This window comes from Homo sapiens, chromosome 5 (assembly GCF_000001405.40).
Source record: "Homo sapiens chromosome 5, GRCh38.p14 Primary Assembly".
Taxonomy (NCBI): domain Eukaryota; kingdom Metazoa; phylum Chordata; class Mammalia; order Primates; family Hominidae; genus Homo; species Homo sapiens.
In genome coordinates this window covers 66,031,291-66,049,041 of record NC_000005.10, presented here as the reverse complement: position 1 = coordinate 66,049,041, position 17,751 = coordinate 66,031,291, and the positions used below count along the sequence as shown (strand labels likewise).

At 35.8% G+C, this 17,751-nt stretch overlaps 1 protein-coding gene across 18 annotated transcripts in view; it reads right to left on the bottom strand.

The window, feature by feature from the left end:
* Positions 1-17,751, bottom strand: part of ERBIN (erbb2 interacting protein) — a 155,972-nt gene that overhangs the window by 33,505 nt on the left and 104,716 nt on the right. For 12 of the 18 annotated variants that reach the window (XM_047417376.1, XM_047417378.1, XM_047417380.1 and 9 more), the window contains 5 exons: positions 10,560-10,659; positions 5,844-5,965; positions 4,732-4,905; positions 2,504-2,689; positions 261-375 (listed from right to left, as the gene is read on the bottom strand). In XM_047417376.1, coding sequence (XP_047273332.1) covers positions 261-375; positions 2,504-2,689; positions 4,732-4,905; positions 5,844-5,965; positions 10,560-10,659 — 697 coding nt within the window. The remainder of the gene's footprint in view (positions 1-260; positions 376-2,503; positions 2,690-4,731; positions 4,906-5,843; positions 5,966-10,559; positions 10,660-17,751) is intronic. The other 6 variants (XM_047417377.1, XM_047417379.1, XM_047417381.1 and 3 more) reach the window with 1 other exon arrangement.

Sequence of the window (17,751 nt, the reverse complement as noted above, 5' to 3'; positions counted from 1 at the left end):
GCAGAAATGAACAATCCAAGTTTATCTGTCGGTAAAGTCCATGCCTTTATAAGTAAATTTGCATGAGGAGAAAGAAAAGACTATCAAGGACTTTCCCTAAAAATGAGAGAGAAGGAAAGAGAACCTTTCAGAAAGCCATGTCTAAAAATTTGTTTCTAAAATGTATCAAATAACATAATATTCAATGAAATTTATTTCAAAAAAATTTATAAATTTATTGAGGCAATTTCTATTCTTAGCACTTTCCTTTAACATCTAACCTTTTTTGTTATTACTAAGTGCTACGACTTTTGGCTGGTTAATAGAGGTTTCAATTAATGGTGGTCGCATCTCCGCCATTTTCATCTCTTCATCAGAAGAAAGTTCTTCAGATTCCTAGTGAAAAGGGGGTGAGGGGGATAAAAATTAAATTTTTGTTTCTTTAAATAAATAAATATTAAGTCATAAGACTTTAAAGGGAAAACAAATATTATAAACACATATTAAACCTTTTCAAGATACGGCAATAAAATAACAACCAGTCCTTCCAAGACTGTTTGTACAATTTGTACCTCTATCCTTTTCATGGCACCATTATCCTAATCAAACATTAGGATACTGCTCCTCTATTCCCTTTTTTATACTGAGATGTTCACGTGCTGCATCTCCTATAATATTCTTACAACTATAGTAACTTTCAACCATATATAGCTCTATGAATTAGAGTAACACTCTATTAAAAGCCTTTAGTGGCTCCTCAACACTACAGAACATTAAGTTCAAACTTCTTAGCTTGGCTTTTCAGAGCCTCGTAATCAGGGCCCTGTCTACTCTACTGATCTTATTTCATAATATTGTCTCTGACTTATTCAGTAACATAAAATGTTAATAACATAACATTTTATGTTATTCAGTAACATAAAATGTTATTTTCCATATGTTCCAAATGCCATTCTTTCACTCTCATCATTCCTTCCCCATTTCATTCCATTCTCCTGTATCTGCGAATTAAAATTTTCCAAAACACAGGTGAAATGCCCCCTTCTCAAGGCAGCCATAAATCTTCCTCCTAAATTTCTTTAACACTTAGTACATTTCTAACACACTTAGCACAGTCTATCCTTAATTATATATATTTGCATTCATTTAAATCCCTATATCCACTTATCCATTCTGCCACCTTAGCTCTAAACACAGTGCCTTACACATAGAAATTACACTAAATGAGTCATAAGTTCACTGTAACAAACCTAATAATTTTTTCACAGCCTGTGACATTAGCTTCAGTGCATACCATAGCGTATTGAGTGATATTAACCATCCTTTTTTTAAAAAATTATTCCTGTTGTAAATGACAGCTCACAGGATAACCAGGAAAAGAGATGGTGTGCTTGAATGCATTTTGAAATTTTAGGGATGAAGATGTATTAACTTAAATAGCCACTTGTAGCTAGTATGTACTGCAGTGAACAATGCAGCTATAAATCAGAAACACTTCAGATATTCATATTAAAAAGTTACAGCTTCACCATTTTACATTACCACTAGCAGTGTATGAAGGGAATATAAAATGGTGCAATCATTTTTCATTCATGAAAATATATATCCACACAAAAACCTGTACACAAAAATTCACTGCAGACTTATTCATTACAGCCAAAAAGTGGAAATAATTAAAATGTCCATTAATTGAAGAATGGATGAACAAAGGGTGGATATACACAATGTAGTATTATTCGGTCATAAAAATGGATGCTGTGTTGATATATGCTATAACATACAAAAACTTGAACACATTATGCTAGGTGAAACAGACCAGGCACAAAAGACCACATATTGTATGATTCCACTTAAATGAAATGTCAAGAATAGGCAAATTTACAGAGGCATATAAAGTAGATTTTTGGTTGCCTAGGGCCAAAGGGGATAAAGAGTGAGGAGTAACAGGTAAAGAGTATGGAATTTCTTTCTGGGGTGAGAAACATGTTCTAAAAGTCACTGTAGTAATGGCTGCACAATTTGGTAAATATACTAAAGGCCACTGAATTGAATACTTTAAATAAGTGATTTGTATGATATGTGAGTTATATCTCAATAAAGCTGTTTTTTAAAAAAAGTTCCAGCTTTTATTTATCCACTAGAAGAAACTCCACATCTAAAAACTGTCTCAGACATTCAACCAAAAAATCTTTCACTTTCAAGGATAAATGCATAAATAAGTTAAATAATTGGGTATGCCTATAGTAGTCTTTTCATTTTTAAGTTACAGAAATAAAAGCAATTATGTATTTTACAGTAGCCTAGACTATCTATAATCTAATTCGCATAAACATCTGAATACAAAGGGCATAATAATTTGTAAGTTTAAAGTGACAAGTGAGTGATATTTTTGCAGATATGAAATTTCTCAATGATGAATGCATTAACATATTTTCTACAATCAGTATCAGGTCTTTATTTAGCAACAATAAAATATTAAATTGAAAGTTCTTATAGTTGCTCCAGAATAATCATAAAATCATACCTCAAAAACATCATCATGGTTAACAATATGCTTCAAGTTCTCAGAGGCTTTCATATTTGCAGTCACTGGTAAACTCCCAGGACTAATCTCAGCTTCAGGTTCACTGATCTTCTGTACAGAGTTTCCTATCATATATTTTTCTCTTTCATCAACTTTGCTTTTTACTGTAGTAGTACTTTCTGAGGTCTAAGTAAAAGAAAAGATAAAGAGCTCATATTCTTTAAGTTTTATATCTATTTTAAAAGTTCAGATAAAAATTTGTAAGCAATTTGCCAACTTCCAATTCTGGACTAATCTCAAACATGAAAACTTTAAACATAGAAACCTGTGACACTCACAGATAAAATGCTCATTTTAGGAGCACGTGGCCCCCAAAGATCCATGAGCCACATTAAAATTTAAAAGTTAGCCAAGGTTACTTTCCTCTTAGAAGCTGCCAAGGCTTGTAAGTGTGGACAACTGAGTCACTTAGCTCAGCAAACTCAACTCCGGATGGTTAAAATTGTTTTCTGCTCATTGTGGACTGTACAGTAACTCTAATGACATGGTAAAACTTTTGTTTCTGTGATACAATAATGTGTGTGTGGCAAAGTCCTAAAGGAATATACAGACGATTTAGGGATTTGTGAAAGTTTCTGAAACATCGCAAGGAAATGCCAACTGTCTGTCATTGCAATTACATTTAAAATGAGAATTAGGTAAAATGGACCAATATTAACAGGGGGAAAAATTTCCATAATAATAATTTTTCTGGCATTCATTATCTTCTTTGTTCAGACAATGATTTTTTTAAAGGCTATGCTGACAATACACTGTCAATTGGACATTCTATAGCCAGAGTGGTAATGATAGTAATTATGGACTTCACTGATTATTTGTTTCCCAGTTCAGGTAGCTGAGAACAAAACCTTAAATTTGCAAGTGCAGTCACGTGGCACTTAACAACAGTGGTATGTTCAGAGAAATTTATTAGGTGATTTTTTTCCTCTGTGAACATCACAGAGTGTACTTACACAAACCTAGACAGTATAGCTTACTACACACATAGGCTATATGTAATATTACATATACATACACTATATGTATATACATACATATACATATACATATACTATATTACATATAGGCTATATGTAATATAGCCTATGGCCCCAAGGCTACAAACCTGTATAACATGTTACTGTACTGAACACTATAGGCAATTCTAACACAATAGAAAGTATTTGTGTATGCAAACATATCTGACTATAGGAAAGTTGTGTTATGACATCATTAGGCAATAGGAGTTTTTCAGCTCCATTACACATTTTTTCTTTTTTTGAGACAGGGTCTCGCTCTGTCACCCATGCCGGAGTGCTGTGGCATGATCATAGCTCACTGCAGCCTTGAACTCCTAGGCTCAAGGGATCCTCTCACCTCAAGTCTCCCAAGTAGCTAGGACTACAGGAGCATGCCACCATGCCCAGATAATTTTTAAAATTTTTTGTAGAGACAGGTTGTCTTGCTATGTTGCCCATGCTGGTCTTGAACTCCTGGCCTCCAGTGACTCTCCTGCTTAAGCCTCCCAAATAGCTAGGTCAACAGGCACACATCACCAAGCCCAGCTAATTTTTTTTTTTAAACTTTCTGTATAAACAGTCTCACCATCTTCATCAGGCTGTTCTCAAATCCTCGGTGTAAGTGACCATCCCACCTCGGCCTCCCAAAGTGCTGGGATAACAGGAGTGAGCCACCATGGCCAGCCATCTCCCTTATACTCTTATTTTTTGTTTTTGAGACAGAGTGTCACTCTGTCACCCAGGCTGGAGCACAGTGGTACGATCTCGGCTCACTGCAACCCCCGCCTCCTGGGTTCAAGCGATTCTCCTGCCTCAGCCTCCCAAGTAGCTGGGATTACTGGTGCCCACCACCACGCCCAGCTAATTTTTGTACTTTTAGTTGAGATGGGGTTTCACCATGTTAGCCAGGCTGGTCTCAAACTCCTGACCTCAAGTGATCTGCTTGCCTTGGCCTCCCAAAGTGCTGGGATTAGAGGTGTGAGCCACCACGCCCAGCCCCTTATACTCTTATAGGACCACCATCATATGTATGTGAGCATGTCGACCGAAATATCATTCTGTGGTGCATGACTGCACATTCAGAGTACATGAAAAGGGGCACTATATCAACTGTCATTTAAAAATAAGAACTTGAAATAGGCTTTGGTTAATCCTTTTGAATTTTCTAACCTTCACACCCACATCTTTATTTATATCTTGTTGATCTTCATGTGGTTTCAAATCTCTTCCTGAGTCTTCATTGGTCTCTTCATCTTTTAATCTATGTACAATGGTTTGAACAGTTTTGACCATATTCTTAAGCTCATCTGGGTATGGTGTTGGATATCTTTTTAAATTTCCCTCCTAGAGAAATAAAATAAGTAAAATATGAAGTACAAATATTTCTAATGTCAATCTCAAACAAAATTTAATCTGTAACCCATCTGAATTACATTAGATATCAAGCTCATAGGGATAACTGTGAAGACAGATGATAGGCTTTGAAGGCATTTTAGGCTTGATAAAAATATGGTTTTATGACAAAATAAGACTTTGCAGTAAATTTCAATGTTTTAAAAGTTTTATCAGACTCAAATATTTCCATTTAGAGATATATAGTATGAATATTGCCAAAAATTGTGTCACTTAGCTTTGAAACAGATACACATTTTTCAGCTATTCATCTACGTATATATAAAATTCAGATATTCGTATATTTATGTCTCACATACCAAGAGCCATATTTTTCCAAGGTCAGCCTGTCATTTTCTGAGATTCAGCTAAGTTTGTATAAGGGGCAAATAATTACATTCATTAAGTAACTAAAAAATATGTATTTACTACTCCTATCACTGTGACATGTTTTCAATTCCATAAAGAAACAAAATGTTCATAACAAAGAGTTCTTTATCTCTAAGATTTATAAAAATAAATCATTAAAGAAAGGGAAAGGGGAGAAAATAATCATTACGAATATGGTGGGGGGAGAGTCAGCTAAACTGAAGTTAAACATAAAGGGTACTAATTTGAAATAAAGTGCTGGTTAATTTCTCTAGCCTATAATAACGTTTTCCTCTTATATTTATATATACTATGAAATTTAGCTTTAAATCACATAGTTTTATATTGTTCCCAAATTCTTTCATGTCTGAAATATTTGGAATCAATAACACTTCAAGTGCCTTGAGGACAAGGAATAAATTCAATACTTTGTTATATCCCCAGACATCATAGTATATATAATACCAACTTAAATATCAGCAGACTTGTTTCAAATTTTAAAGAATAAAGAACAGACTCACCCTGGGAGGTGCCTCCCTTTCATCTTTGTCTTCATCACATTCAAATGCAACTTGAGCCCGCTGTTTCCTCTGTTCCTCCCACAATGAAGGGTTAAAACTTTCATTATCTGATATAAACATAACTAGAGAAAAGTAAAAAACAAAAACCTACTATATTTTACTGTAATTATGGAAAACTATCACTTGCTCATAATTTCTGTATGAGTTATGTTCACTACAATAAGTCTAAAATAGTTAAGAATGGTCAATGCAAGAAATTAGAAATCCTAATGCGTTGGCCGATTCTTTATAATGTCCATGTAAGATTTCTTTACAATGTCAATCACATATCCTTTCTTCCCTGAAGCTGATTCGTCTTGTTTTCTTACCAGAAGGGTTCCTGAAGAGAATCTACCAATTAAAATACCATAGATATATGGTTTTGGGCAGTGCTCTAAAAGGTGCTATGGTAGAAATGCAATTTCATCACTGTATTAAACATTATACATAATATGGATTATATACTAAGTTCTTACAATATATTTTCTATATCAAAATGTAAAAATAATGGAAATTTTAAGGTAAACCCAACACTTATATATTCTATCAGATATATAGGGTGAACATCCCTAATCCAAAAAATCCAAAATGCAAAAAATTCTAATGAGCATTTCCTTTGAGCATTGTGTCAGCACTCCAAAAGGTTTGGATTTTGGCATAGTTTGAATTTTGGGTTAGGGAGGCTCAACTGATATGAATTCTGCAAATATTCCGAAGTCAAAAAAAAATCAAAACCTGAAACACTTCTGGTCTCAAGCATTTTGGATAAGAGATACTCAACCTGTAATATCAAAAGCAAAGATTAAACAACTGTCAGTTTTTTGTTATTATTAGGCATCTAAAAAATACATAAGGCTTAAAAATTAATTCATTCAACTATTTATATCATTCCATAGTTGTGCAATACAAAATAAAATCACAAATTTAAAAGAAAATGACTATCCTTTACTCAAAACAGAGAGATTACAAGTACCCAAAATGAGCTTTAAAGAACCCCAGAAACTCCTGGAATACCCAAATATGGTCAATTCGAATATTTCTGCAAAAATAACATAATACAAAAACTTCTAATTATCATTTTTATTAAGCCCTTATTTGGGGCTTGCTTAACCTTTTAAAATCTCATACCCAAATTAAGGATGTCATGAAACCAAATCTTACCAATGGGAATGAAATTCTTTGATTTAGCCTTTTCTTTGTTTTCATTACTCCATTCAAGATTTTTTTTCCCTTATAATTGCTTTTTTAAATTGCTTAACACGTACTCAATGAAGTAGTGTATTTGTTTTTGTTCAAAACAAATGTGGAATGTGATTCAAATTCCTACTGACATACTTTTGTGGTATGATTGGAAAGGCAAGGACAGCCCAGCAGTTTCCAACAAAGTCTATTTTTTAATTCATATAATTCCCTCTCCCTTGTTCCAGGGCAGTAATTTCAATCACCAGCTTGGCCCAGAGATTCCAATTAGTGTTAGATTATTTCTAAAGCAACTTTACACCAGAATTTATTCAGAAGCCCAAGGTAAGTTAACTTATACCATGCTTCTCATTCTTGTCAAATTCTCGTCACTTACACTTTCTACTCTTTAGTATAAATCTCACATCTTTGAAGATTCAGGATATCAGGTAATATCCCTTTCTATCCATTCTAGAGGCTACTCAAACTGATCACCCAGGTATAGACTTACTGAGGACTCTAATATTTTAGCTACAGATTTTCTCTCCACCTAAGACCTGCTAATATCCTGAATGATGTCAATGTGGGATGATAAGCCCACCACCCCAACACTACAACTTTATAATTCCTTGATGTCCTCAATCCCAATGTCCCTATGCACATCAGCTAAATGATTCACAACCATAGTCATACCCAGGACTTTTCCACCTCTTTGACCACTACACCTGTTCTTCCAAATCACTCAATTCCTTATTATTGCTGGTAAACTTTTGGTTCCTTAACTACCTTTCTTTTGCTCCTTGTAAAATCACTCTAGGTTTTACTTCCTTCTCTATTAAGCTTAGATTTTATGATACATTAATCACTACCACTTCCTGAAATGCCCTTACCCCAACTTCCAGAGGCAACTTTCACTTCAATGTAAAAAGAAATGCAATAAAAACCCTCAGACTCATATTTCCACTAATATCCTGCTTTCTTAGCTACAAATGTATTGTTATATGAAGGCATACTTCCCTTTCTCTCTGATTAAGACTGATTCCTCTACCTAGGCCCAAGATCTCACCCCTGCTCTTGCATATTTATTCATCACTATCTACCTTTAGAATCTTTCTTTTTTTCCTCTTTTTTTTTTTAATCTTCCCACCTTCAGAATCTTGAAGGCAAGAATTTTTGCCTTTACTTAGCTCTAGCACGATACCTGTCACAAAGGTGGGATGAAAAATAGAATTAATTAAGTGTGAACAGTGCCTAATTCTCTCAAATTGGTATAAAACCCAAACCCAAACACATAATATTTTTTGACTCATCTATTTCTTGGAGGCACTGGGATAAAGACAAAAGCCTTTCTTATAGGTGAAAGGAAATTCATTCACCTTGTTTAGTGCTGTGTTTATAATACCCATGGGATACTTTAGGTGACACATGAACTCTAAGATGACCCAGAATATCATAATTGATACTGTATTTCAAACTTTTCTATTAGAAACTCTTCCATTCTAAAACAAATCTCAAAATCAAAATTTAGTAGTGGCAAGATTTTGCTACTTCTATTCTTCCTATCAGAAATAAATGTTTTACCTGAATTGTGATCTCTTTTCAAATTAAACAGGAAAGGAATAAATTTCAATGATAGAATAGAAAAAGAAGGCAAGGTAGATTTGAATTATTAAAGTAGAAACCAGCATGAGAAGAAATCAAGGCAAGAATATACCTATGATTCGGACAGTTTAGAGGCGGGATGAGTAAACTTTTTCTATAAAGGGTCAAATAAATATTTTAAGCTTTGTGAGAAGCAACTAATGATAATAGCATCTATTTTGGAGGATTATTGTAAAGATGAGAAGTTACGGATACGTAAAGTGCTTAGCATTGTGTCTGACTCAAATTGGCTATTATTCTTGCATTGTTATAGCAGGTTTAGCTTTGAAATACTCTTGTATTCCAGAACTAGTGCTAAACTATTAGAAAACTCTTTACCTTCTATAGGATAACTATTTCTTGCTCTCTGCCAGAAGCAATAAAAGACTTGCTTTGATAAGTTATTATTTCATGGGTAAATCTGATGACTTGTATTTAGATGTAGCAAAACCTATTCAGCTTTCTAATCCGATTAGAAGATTTGTGAGATAACTAATGTAAAGAGCTTCATTCACTGGAGGTTCTATAGTTAAAGCTTTGAGAATAGGTTTACAAACAACCTCTCTTCCATGTATTTAAATTCACCCATAATCTCCAAATTAAGCAATACAATAAAATATGGAAGTATGTTTCCATAACAAAATATAGTATACTTAATATTAAGCTGTCAATAGTGATTACTGTTTTATGTGAACAATAATTTCATGAATTAGAAATTAAGTTAAAAATAGAAGTGCAAACCCTGCTTATGCTGTAAGCAGTGCCATGTGGGGAATTACAGCAAATACTTGAATGCATCAATAGCTAAGTTTTTTGTTTGTCTTACTCACTGAAACTTATGTCTCAATTTCCTACTTTTCTTTGTCTCTGAAGATGATTTCTGGAAAATAGGAAGTAAGGGTAAGCATCCTCTAAATAATGTTATAATCAGCTATGCAATATACTAGATAATTGTTCTTTTACATGAGAGGACAGAATACTAGCGTAAGTTAAGCATCCCTTATGTGAAATGCTTGGTTCCAGAGTGTTTTGTAGTGAATGAATGTGGCTGTGCTCCAAAAGAACTATTATCATCATTTCAAGATAAGGAAACTGAAGTTCAAGAACCTATTTAACTTGCCCGTGGTATAATTTATAAATTAAGACTTATGATTGAAATGACTGATTTACATTTTTTCTTCAGTGTTTCTATGTACTAAGAATTAATTTATAAATAATTTCAAACCACAGAGATTTTCACTGGTGTCAGAAAGAAGATACATAAAAAATAGTTACTTTAAGTGTAACACAATAAACACACACACACACACACACGCAGAGAGTACAACATATACTAAAAACAATTTGCTCGTTAGTCTAAAAGGTCGTCATACCATAATCTATAAAAACATCTGTGCCCAGTAGTAAAAGGTATACTCCCCCTTGTCGGGCAAAATAAAGAAAAGAATTTAAGAGTAGTATTTATAGTCAGAGTTCAACAGATTATCCTGATCCAGTGTGTAGATCCAAGTGTAATATTAAGTTCACAGGTGAAGAAAATATTTCTTGGTTTAATAATTCTTATCACATAACACTTAACATGTATTCCTAGCATACAGCTAAATGTTTTTAAGTTATCAATTTTAACACTGCGGTTTAATTTAAAGGAATCATTTAAGGAAGCATATGCTACACTTATACTTCTAAATTCAACCCCTGAAATCGTGCCCTATTTTTCCATTATTTCGAAACAAACTGTTTTGGTCAATTCTCTGAAGTCCCATCAAACTGGTAAAAGTCTCTGAGACTTAAAGTTCACTTCACACCTTTTAAATTAGTATTTGTTTTTAACAAGAAAATCGATTATGAAATTCCTACCATCCTCAGTCCTTGGCTGTTGAGGGAACATGTAGTTGGTAAGCACCATTTTCTGGGTCTCTGAATCAGTTTCTTTTTGAAGAGGTATCAGGGGTTTGGACTAGAGAAGGAAAATAAATGCTTAATTTTCAATAACCCTAAAGCAAATATATATTCAGCAATTCCTCTGCATAAGTACACACCACTTTTTCTATAAAGTATCAATGTGCAGGTTACAAACAAATCTAACTATACACAATAACACTTTAGGCATTGATTTGATAACACTTTAGGCATTGATTTGAAACCATATTAAAATCCAACAAATGTAGTTTTTAGTATAAAGCAAGTAAATCAAGCTACTGAAATATCGTTTTAAAAGATTTCATATACTAAGTTTATCCATAGTCCGTTACTTATTAACACAGTGATATATTTAATACAGTTATAAAATAAGCCTTTCCATTGTATATTATTTTGCCCTCTCTAGTATTCCCCTTCACTAAGATGCTTTTGGAAAAAATGTGGAACAGTTAGTCTGGTTATCTAAATGTTTATTCTAGTTAGCAGCTGAAAAGAGAATGATGAAAACAATCAGCTGCTTCTTTTTCTTCCTCTTGTGTATCCTGTCTACAGTAATGACACCAGTAAGTCACTCGGTGGTGGAGTCCCCCAGGAAATTTGGACCTTCTTTTTTCTTATGATTTTTTCCCTAACTAGTCAACAAATGTTATCCATCTATTTTTTAATATAACTAATTCTTTTTGCTATTCACCTAAAATCCTACCAATAAAAGCCTTGGCTGACTCCAGACGGACAGAGAACTACCCAATTCTCCCCTCACATGTCACCCTATTACTTAATTCTTTGCACCTACTCCTATGAAAACCTTCCAGCTAGTTAATTCCATCCTGTAATCTTACTCCCATTTAAACATTCCTTTCTGTTCCTCAGCAAACAAAATCTGCCCTACATTTCAAATTCCTGAACAATTTCCTTAACTCTCAGATAATGGAAACGGTAGCTCTACTCCCTTCCCAAAGACAGTGCTTCTCTCAGGCCTCAAATACAGGTGTTTTATTCTCTCCTACCTCATCCACCCCAAGTCAGGAGGTGAGGGTAGCGCTTACAATGCTGTGACATCATTCCTCCCTTATCCTCAGATTTAAATTCCTTTTCCTTTGAGGCATATAACCCATACCTTCCATAGTCAATCTCCTGTCCTATTATCTACTGGCCTCTTGGTGGTATTCATCTATTCCTGGCTCTTTTACACCAAATTTTTCCAAAGTCACGAGTAATTCAACATATACAAAACACATATGACATTTCCATACTTTTGGCTTCTTAGCAGATGAACAATTTGTGAGAAGAAAAAAATAAGCCCCCTTAGATGAGCATATAAAAATTATATGGGAGGCTTTTAAAAACTCATCACCCTGAAAATCTTCTAAAACTGTTGTAATTGTTGCACAACTCTGTGACTATACTAAAAACCACTGAATTGTATCCTTTAAAAGGGGTTCACTGTATGGTACATGAATTACATGTCAACAAAGATGTAATAAGAAAACTAGTCACCTGTTATTTATGAGGCACAGACAGAAAAAGGAATGAGAACAGTATATCTGGCCTCTCAGTTCCCTGAACACCTAACTTCAGAGATCTTTAATCCGATTTCATTTCACATATTCTATTACTATGCCATAATTCCTAAAATATTCTTCTCTGAAATATAAAGATCACTCATTCAATGAATATTTCCTAAGAGCCTTTTATATTGCAAAGCACTATGACAGGTCCTGTGTACAGAGTGGTGAGCAAAGCATGTATCTTTACTGACTTTACTGTAGAGTTTATGAGAGGAAGAATACAGGTAACAAAATAGGCAACTGCTACTGTAATTCCAAGTGAAATTACAGGGTAGACAGGGTACAGTGTGCAAGAAGAACATACAGGAGGAGAAATTCACTTACCACTATCTTGAATGATTAGCAAAGCATTCCTGAAAGAAAGTCTAAGGTGAGGATAAGAAGGTAAGAAGCCAGGTAAGAAAGAGAAGGAAGAATGTTCCAAGAAAGCAGAACTGATTTAGAGAAATGAGAATGAATGTGTATGGGGTAGAGATGAAGCCACAAGATGAGCAGGCTCTTGAGGCATATGACATAAAGAAAAAAGAAACAATGAAAAGGTTTTAAGTAGGATAGTGCTGGGATCAGATTAAAGAATCACTCAAATCACAATGTGGTTCAGAATGGGTAATAAGGGATTGGAACTGGTAGCAACACTGGAGGCAGAGACCTATTAGGAAGCTACCTCAACAGTCTGTCAGCACTGTTCGAAAGCACTGTAAGGTAAGACAAAAATGAGTACCACAGATTATTTATAATTTTCTTTTTCTTTTCTTTTTAAGAGAATCTTGTTCTGTCACCCAGGCTGGAGGCTGGAGTGCAGTGGCATGATCATAGCTCATTGTAACCTAGAACTTCTGGGCTCAAGCAATCCTCCCGCCTCAGCCTCCCAAGGAGCTGGTACTACAGGTATGTGCCACTGTGCCTGGCTATTTCTTTTTCTAAGAGATGGGATCTTGTTATGTCACCCAGGCAGGTCTCAAACTCCCGGCCTCAAGCAAGCCTCCTGCCTTGACTTCTCAAAGTGCTAGGATTACAGGTGTAAGCCACCACGCCCAGTCTGATTACTTATAATTTTTTAGTAGCCACATATAATAAAATGGCAAAAAAGATGAAATTTTGATAATGCATTTAACTTTACATATTCAAAATATCATTTTAACATATAATCGAAAAAAATTAGGAATATGACCATATATATTATCTGTTCATACTAAGGCTACAAATACCAGTGTGTACCTTACACTCACACCAAATCTCAATTTGGACCAGTCACCTGACACTAGTGGCTATGGTACTGGACAGTGCAGGTCTAAGTGAAAGATGACAGTGAACAGTATTTAAGGGAAGTGGTAGTAGGGATAAAGCAAAATACACAAACACTAGGATGTTTAAGATTCAATAGGGCTTGTCTATCAACTGGACTGAAGTACAGGGAAAAACAGTAGTTAAGGGTTGCATTTCCAGGCCTCTGCCTCCATCAAGTATTATTTACCAAGCTAAAGAAGCTGAGGGGTGTGGGGGAAATATATTTGGGGCAGAACGTGGTATACTCAATTTTGGGCTTGCTGAATTTGAGACATGTAGGTGGCAATGTTAAGTAGGAATTGAGCTATATGAATGTGAAGCTCTGGCACAAGAACTGGGCTGAAGATATTGTTAAGAATAATGAGGATACAGATAGCAATTTCAGGAGAAAGTAGGGAGAAATTAAAGCAGAGCCTAGGGTAACCATGAGAAGCACAAACATGTAAGGCACAGGCAGAACAAATATGTCTGAAAAGGAGACTGAGGAGCAGTCAGGTAAAAGGACAACCAGCAGAGTATGGTAACACAGACATCATGCAGCCCTCCCACTCCACTGCACTCACAGTACTTGCTGATCACCCTCAGCAAGACTACTATTCCTTTGACCTTTTGACATTCTTCCCACCATTTACTCCTGTCTTTGACTCCCCTTTTGTACCACACTGTATCTTATTTAAACCACTTTCTTGCCACAAACCAAGACCTCTTTGCTGCATTATTCTTTTCTTGCACCTGTCTTGGCAAAACTACAGCCCAAAATCCTTCCAGTTGTGTGCTTTCTCTATATTACATTGCTGAGCAAATTAGTATCACCACAAACTTGTGGAGTGATTAATTTGTACTCATATTTGTGTACTGATACTAATAATACTTCAACTAGGCTCTACATGTTACCTGAAAATCCTTCTATGTTTCCTAAACTGTGTTCTGAAAATATCTTCCTTAAAAAAAAAAAAAAGGATTCAAGAACAGCTATGAGGTTGTGCTTGGTGGCTCACGCCTGTAATCCCAGCACTTTGGGAGGCCGAGGTGGGTGGATCACATGAAGTCAGGAGTTCAATAACAGCCTGGCCAACATGGTGAAACTCCGTCTCTACTAAAAATACAAAAAGCTGGGTGTGGTGATAAGTGCCTTTAGTCCCAACTACTCAAGAGGCTGAGGCAGGAAAATTGCCTGGACCCAGGAGGCAGAGGTTGCAGAGAGCCAAGATGGAGCCACTGCACCCCAGCCTGGGCGACAGAGTGAGACTCTGTCTTAAAAAAAAAAACAGCTATGAGTATGGAAAATTCTACATTCTAAGAGTATCATAATGTACACTATTTCCTCTCCTCCCTTTCACAAACGTCATACCCAAGCTCTCTCCAACAGGTTAAGAATTCCTGTCATAGCTTTTCCATCAGTTTCCATCCATTATCCAACTGCTTCTCATATTCTTTTTTTTTTTTTTTGAGACAAAGTCTCGCTCTGTCACCCAGGCTACAGTGTGGAGTGCAGTGGAGTGATCTCGGCTCACTGCAACGTCCGCCTCCTGGGTTCAATCAATTCTCCTGTCTCAGCCTCCCGAGTAGCTGGGGCTACAGGCACACGCCACCACGCCCGGCTAATTTTTGTATTTTCAGTAGAGACGGGATTTCCCCATATTGGTCAGGCTGGTCTTGAATTCCTGACCTCAGGTGATCCACCCGCCTCGGCCTCCCAAAGTGTTGGGACTACAGGCATGAACCACCGCACCAGACCCTCATATTCTTAATCTTACTCACACAGCTTCTTTCCAACAACCTGTAAACATGCTCTGCAATATTAAAGGATCCCTGCGCTTTTCCTGCTGCTAGCTATCAATTTCTTTATGTTCCATTCCATTTCCTTCTCATCCAACCTTCTTAAAGAGTAATCAACATTATGTGATTCCATTTCATCATCTATTTATTCCTTAAACTCCTTCAATCTGGGTTTTGCCATATACCTCTATAATTACTTTAGCTAGCTGCCAAATATAATGGATATTTTTCAGATATAATCTGAACTGACTTCTCAACAGCATTTATCCTATTAACAACTTCTTCCTTCAGGCCAGTCTTAACTCTTCCTTCTTCACTCTTAACTTGAGTCCATCATCATCCAGTTCTCCTTCTACTTCTATGGCTACTCTCTTTAAGCCTCTTAGTCTACTGCCATTTAAATGTTGGGGTTCCTCAGGATTCATCATGCATCACTAACATTTTAAAAGTTATTTTATATAATTCCTTTTGAGAAACAACAAAAGCTATGACACCATTCCCTAGAAAAAGTTAATTACGATCATGGGCTGAAACAAATGTGTATTTCTTCTTGTGCCACAAATCTTTTAAAATAAAGTGAATATATTTTTACAAATAAGCACAAAGAATAAACCTATAATAGTACTGAAAAAAGAAAATGAAGCCTTCAGGAGCAATTTTGAGAAGCTTCTGAAGGTTAGAAATTTTTAAATAGAGAAACCAAGAGCACAGAAACCATACAGAAGAAAATGAAGTCAGGAGGTTCATGGTCACCAGCGTGTTCTATGCATGGCTAACTTGGATATACCAAAGATACTTCTAACTCAACATGTTTAACTAGAACTTAGCATCTTCCCATAAACATATTTCTTTCATTTGTGGTTACTTTTCTTGGTTGTGGCAGTATTATCCACCTAGTCACTGAAGCCAAATCTTTGACCCTCATCTTTGCTTTTACTCTCTTCTCACATACATGCATTGCTTCATGCTCTATTGATGCAATCTTTTAAACTATTCCTCAAAAATACCTGCTCTTCCCCCAGTTCTGTTTCATTACTTTAGTTCAAGGCAACGTGTTCTGTTGCCTAGAGTATGACAATGTCCTCCAATTCAGTCTCCCCTACCTTCATGCTTGGCACTAACCCCTGATGAATCCATCTTCCACCATGCAGCCAAAAAGGCCTTTCTAAAATATCAGTGTGATCATACTATTTGCCTGTTCAATGTTACACTGGTTTCCGTATTATCTATCATAAAAATCACTTCTTCCTTTTATACTGATGGCAGATATGAATAATTGATCATGACTAGAATGAACAAATGTCCATTTTGCCTGAGACAGACACAACTTATACATGTTGTTCTCATGTAATTATCAATGGTGCCCCTTTCACTCCCCCGAAAGTGTCCTATTAGGGACAATAAACTACACAGCCACCCAAATCACAGCAATTTTCCACTAGCTTGAATTTGATCATAAGTCAGAATCTGCAACACAATTTTTCAGGAAGCCACTCATAATTGATAAGAGTACAAGATTTTAAAAAATCTTATTTGCCATCCTTGAGATATAATACAGGTTCCTCTGCATGGCATAGAAGATCCTCCACCAACTGATCTCTATCTGCCTTAGTAGCCTCGTTTTCTACCTTTTCCGTCTCACTGTTACACTCTTGTCACAATGATCTGCTTGTAGAGTTATGGAATATACTATGCTGCTTTGCACCTAAATGCTTATGCTCATGATATTCTTCCAAACCAGAACACTGTTCTCTTTTTTTTTCTTTAAATCTTATGTCTAGTTGGTCATGGTGGTGCAGGCCTATAATCCCAGATACTCAGGAGGCTGGGGTGGGAAGATCACTTGAGACTGGAAGTTTGAGATCAGACTGGGCAACACAGGAAAACCCCACCTTAAGGGGTAAAAAATAGACAAAAATCCTATTCCTCTTTTTTATTTAAAAAAACTATCTTGGAGATAGAATCTTGCTCTGTTGCCCATGCTGGAGTATAGTGGCATGCTCATAGCTCACTATAACCTAGAACTCCTGGGCTCAAAGGATCCTCCAGCCTCAGCCTCCTGAGTAGCCTGGACTACAGGCATGTGCTACCCCACCTGGCTAATGTTTTAATTTATTTGCAGAGACGGAATCTTGCTATGTTTCCCAGGTTGGTCTCAAACTCGGGCCTCAAAAGATCCTCCCACCTCAGCTTCCCAAAGCTCTGGGATCAGAGGTGTGAACCACCATACCCAGCCCCGTTCCTCTTTTGAGAGATAATTCAGGCACTGCAGGCATTTCCTCCTCTGAGAAATTTGCCTTTACATCCCTTGGTTATCTTCCCCATCTTTGATCCTAAAGCTTAGTCCTATTAAGTCTTTTAACCACATTGTATTAAAGTAACTTTCTAAATATTGTTCCCACCTTAAATTGCCTGGCACAAAGCAGTTGTTCAATAAATGGTTCCTGAGAATCACAAAATGGATGAGGGAATAAATTAATAAATAATTGTTCTGC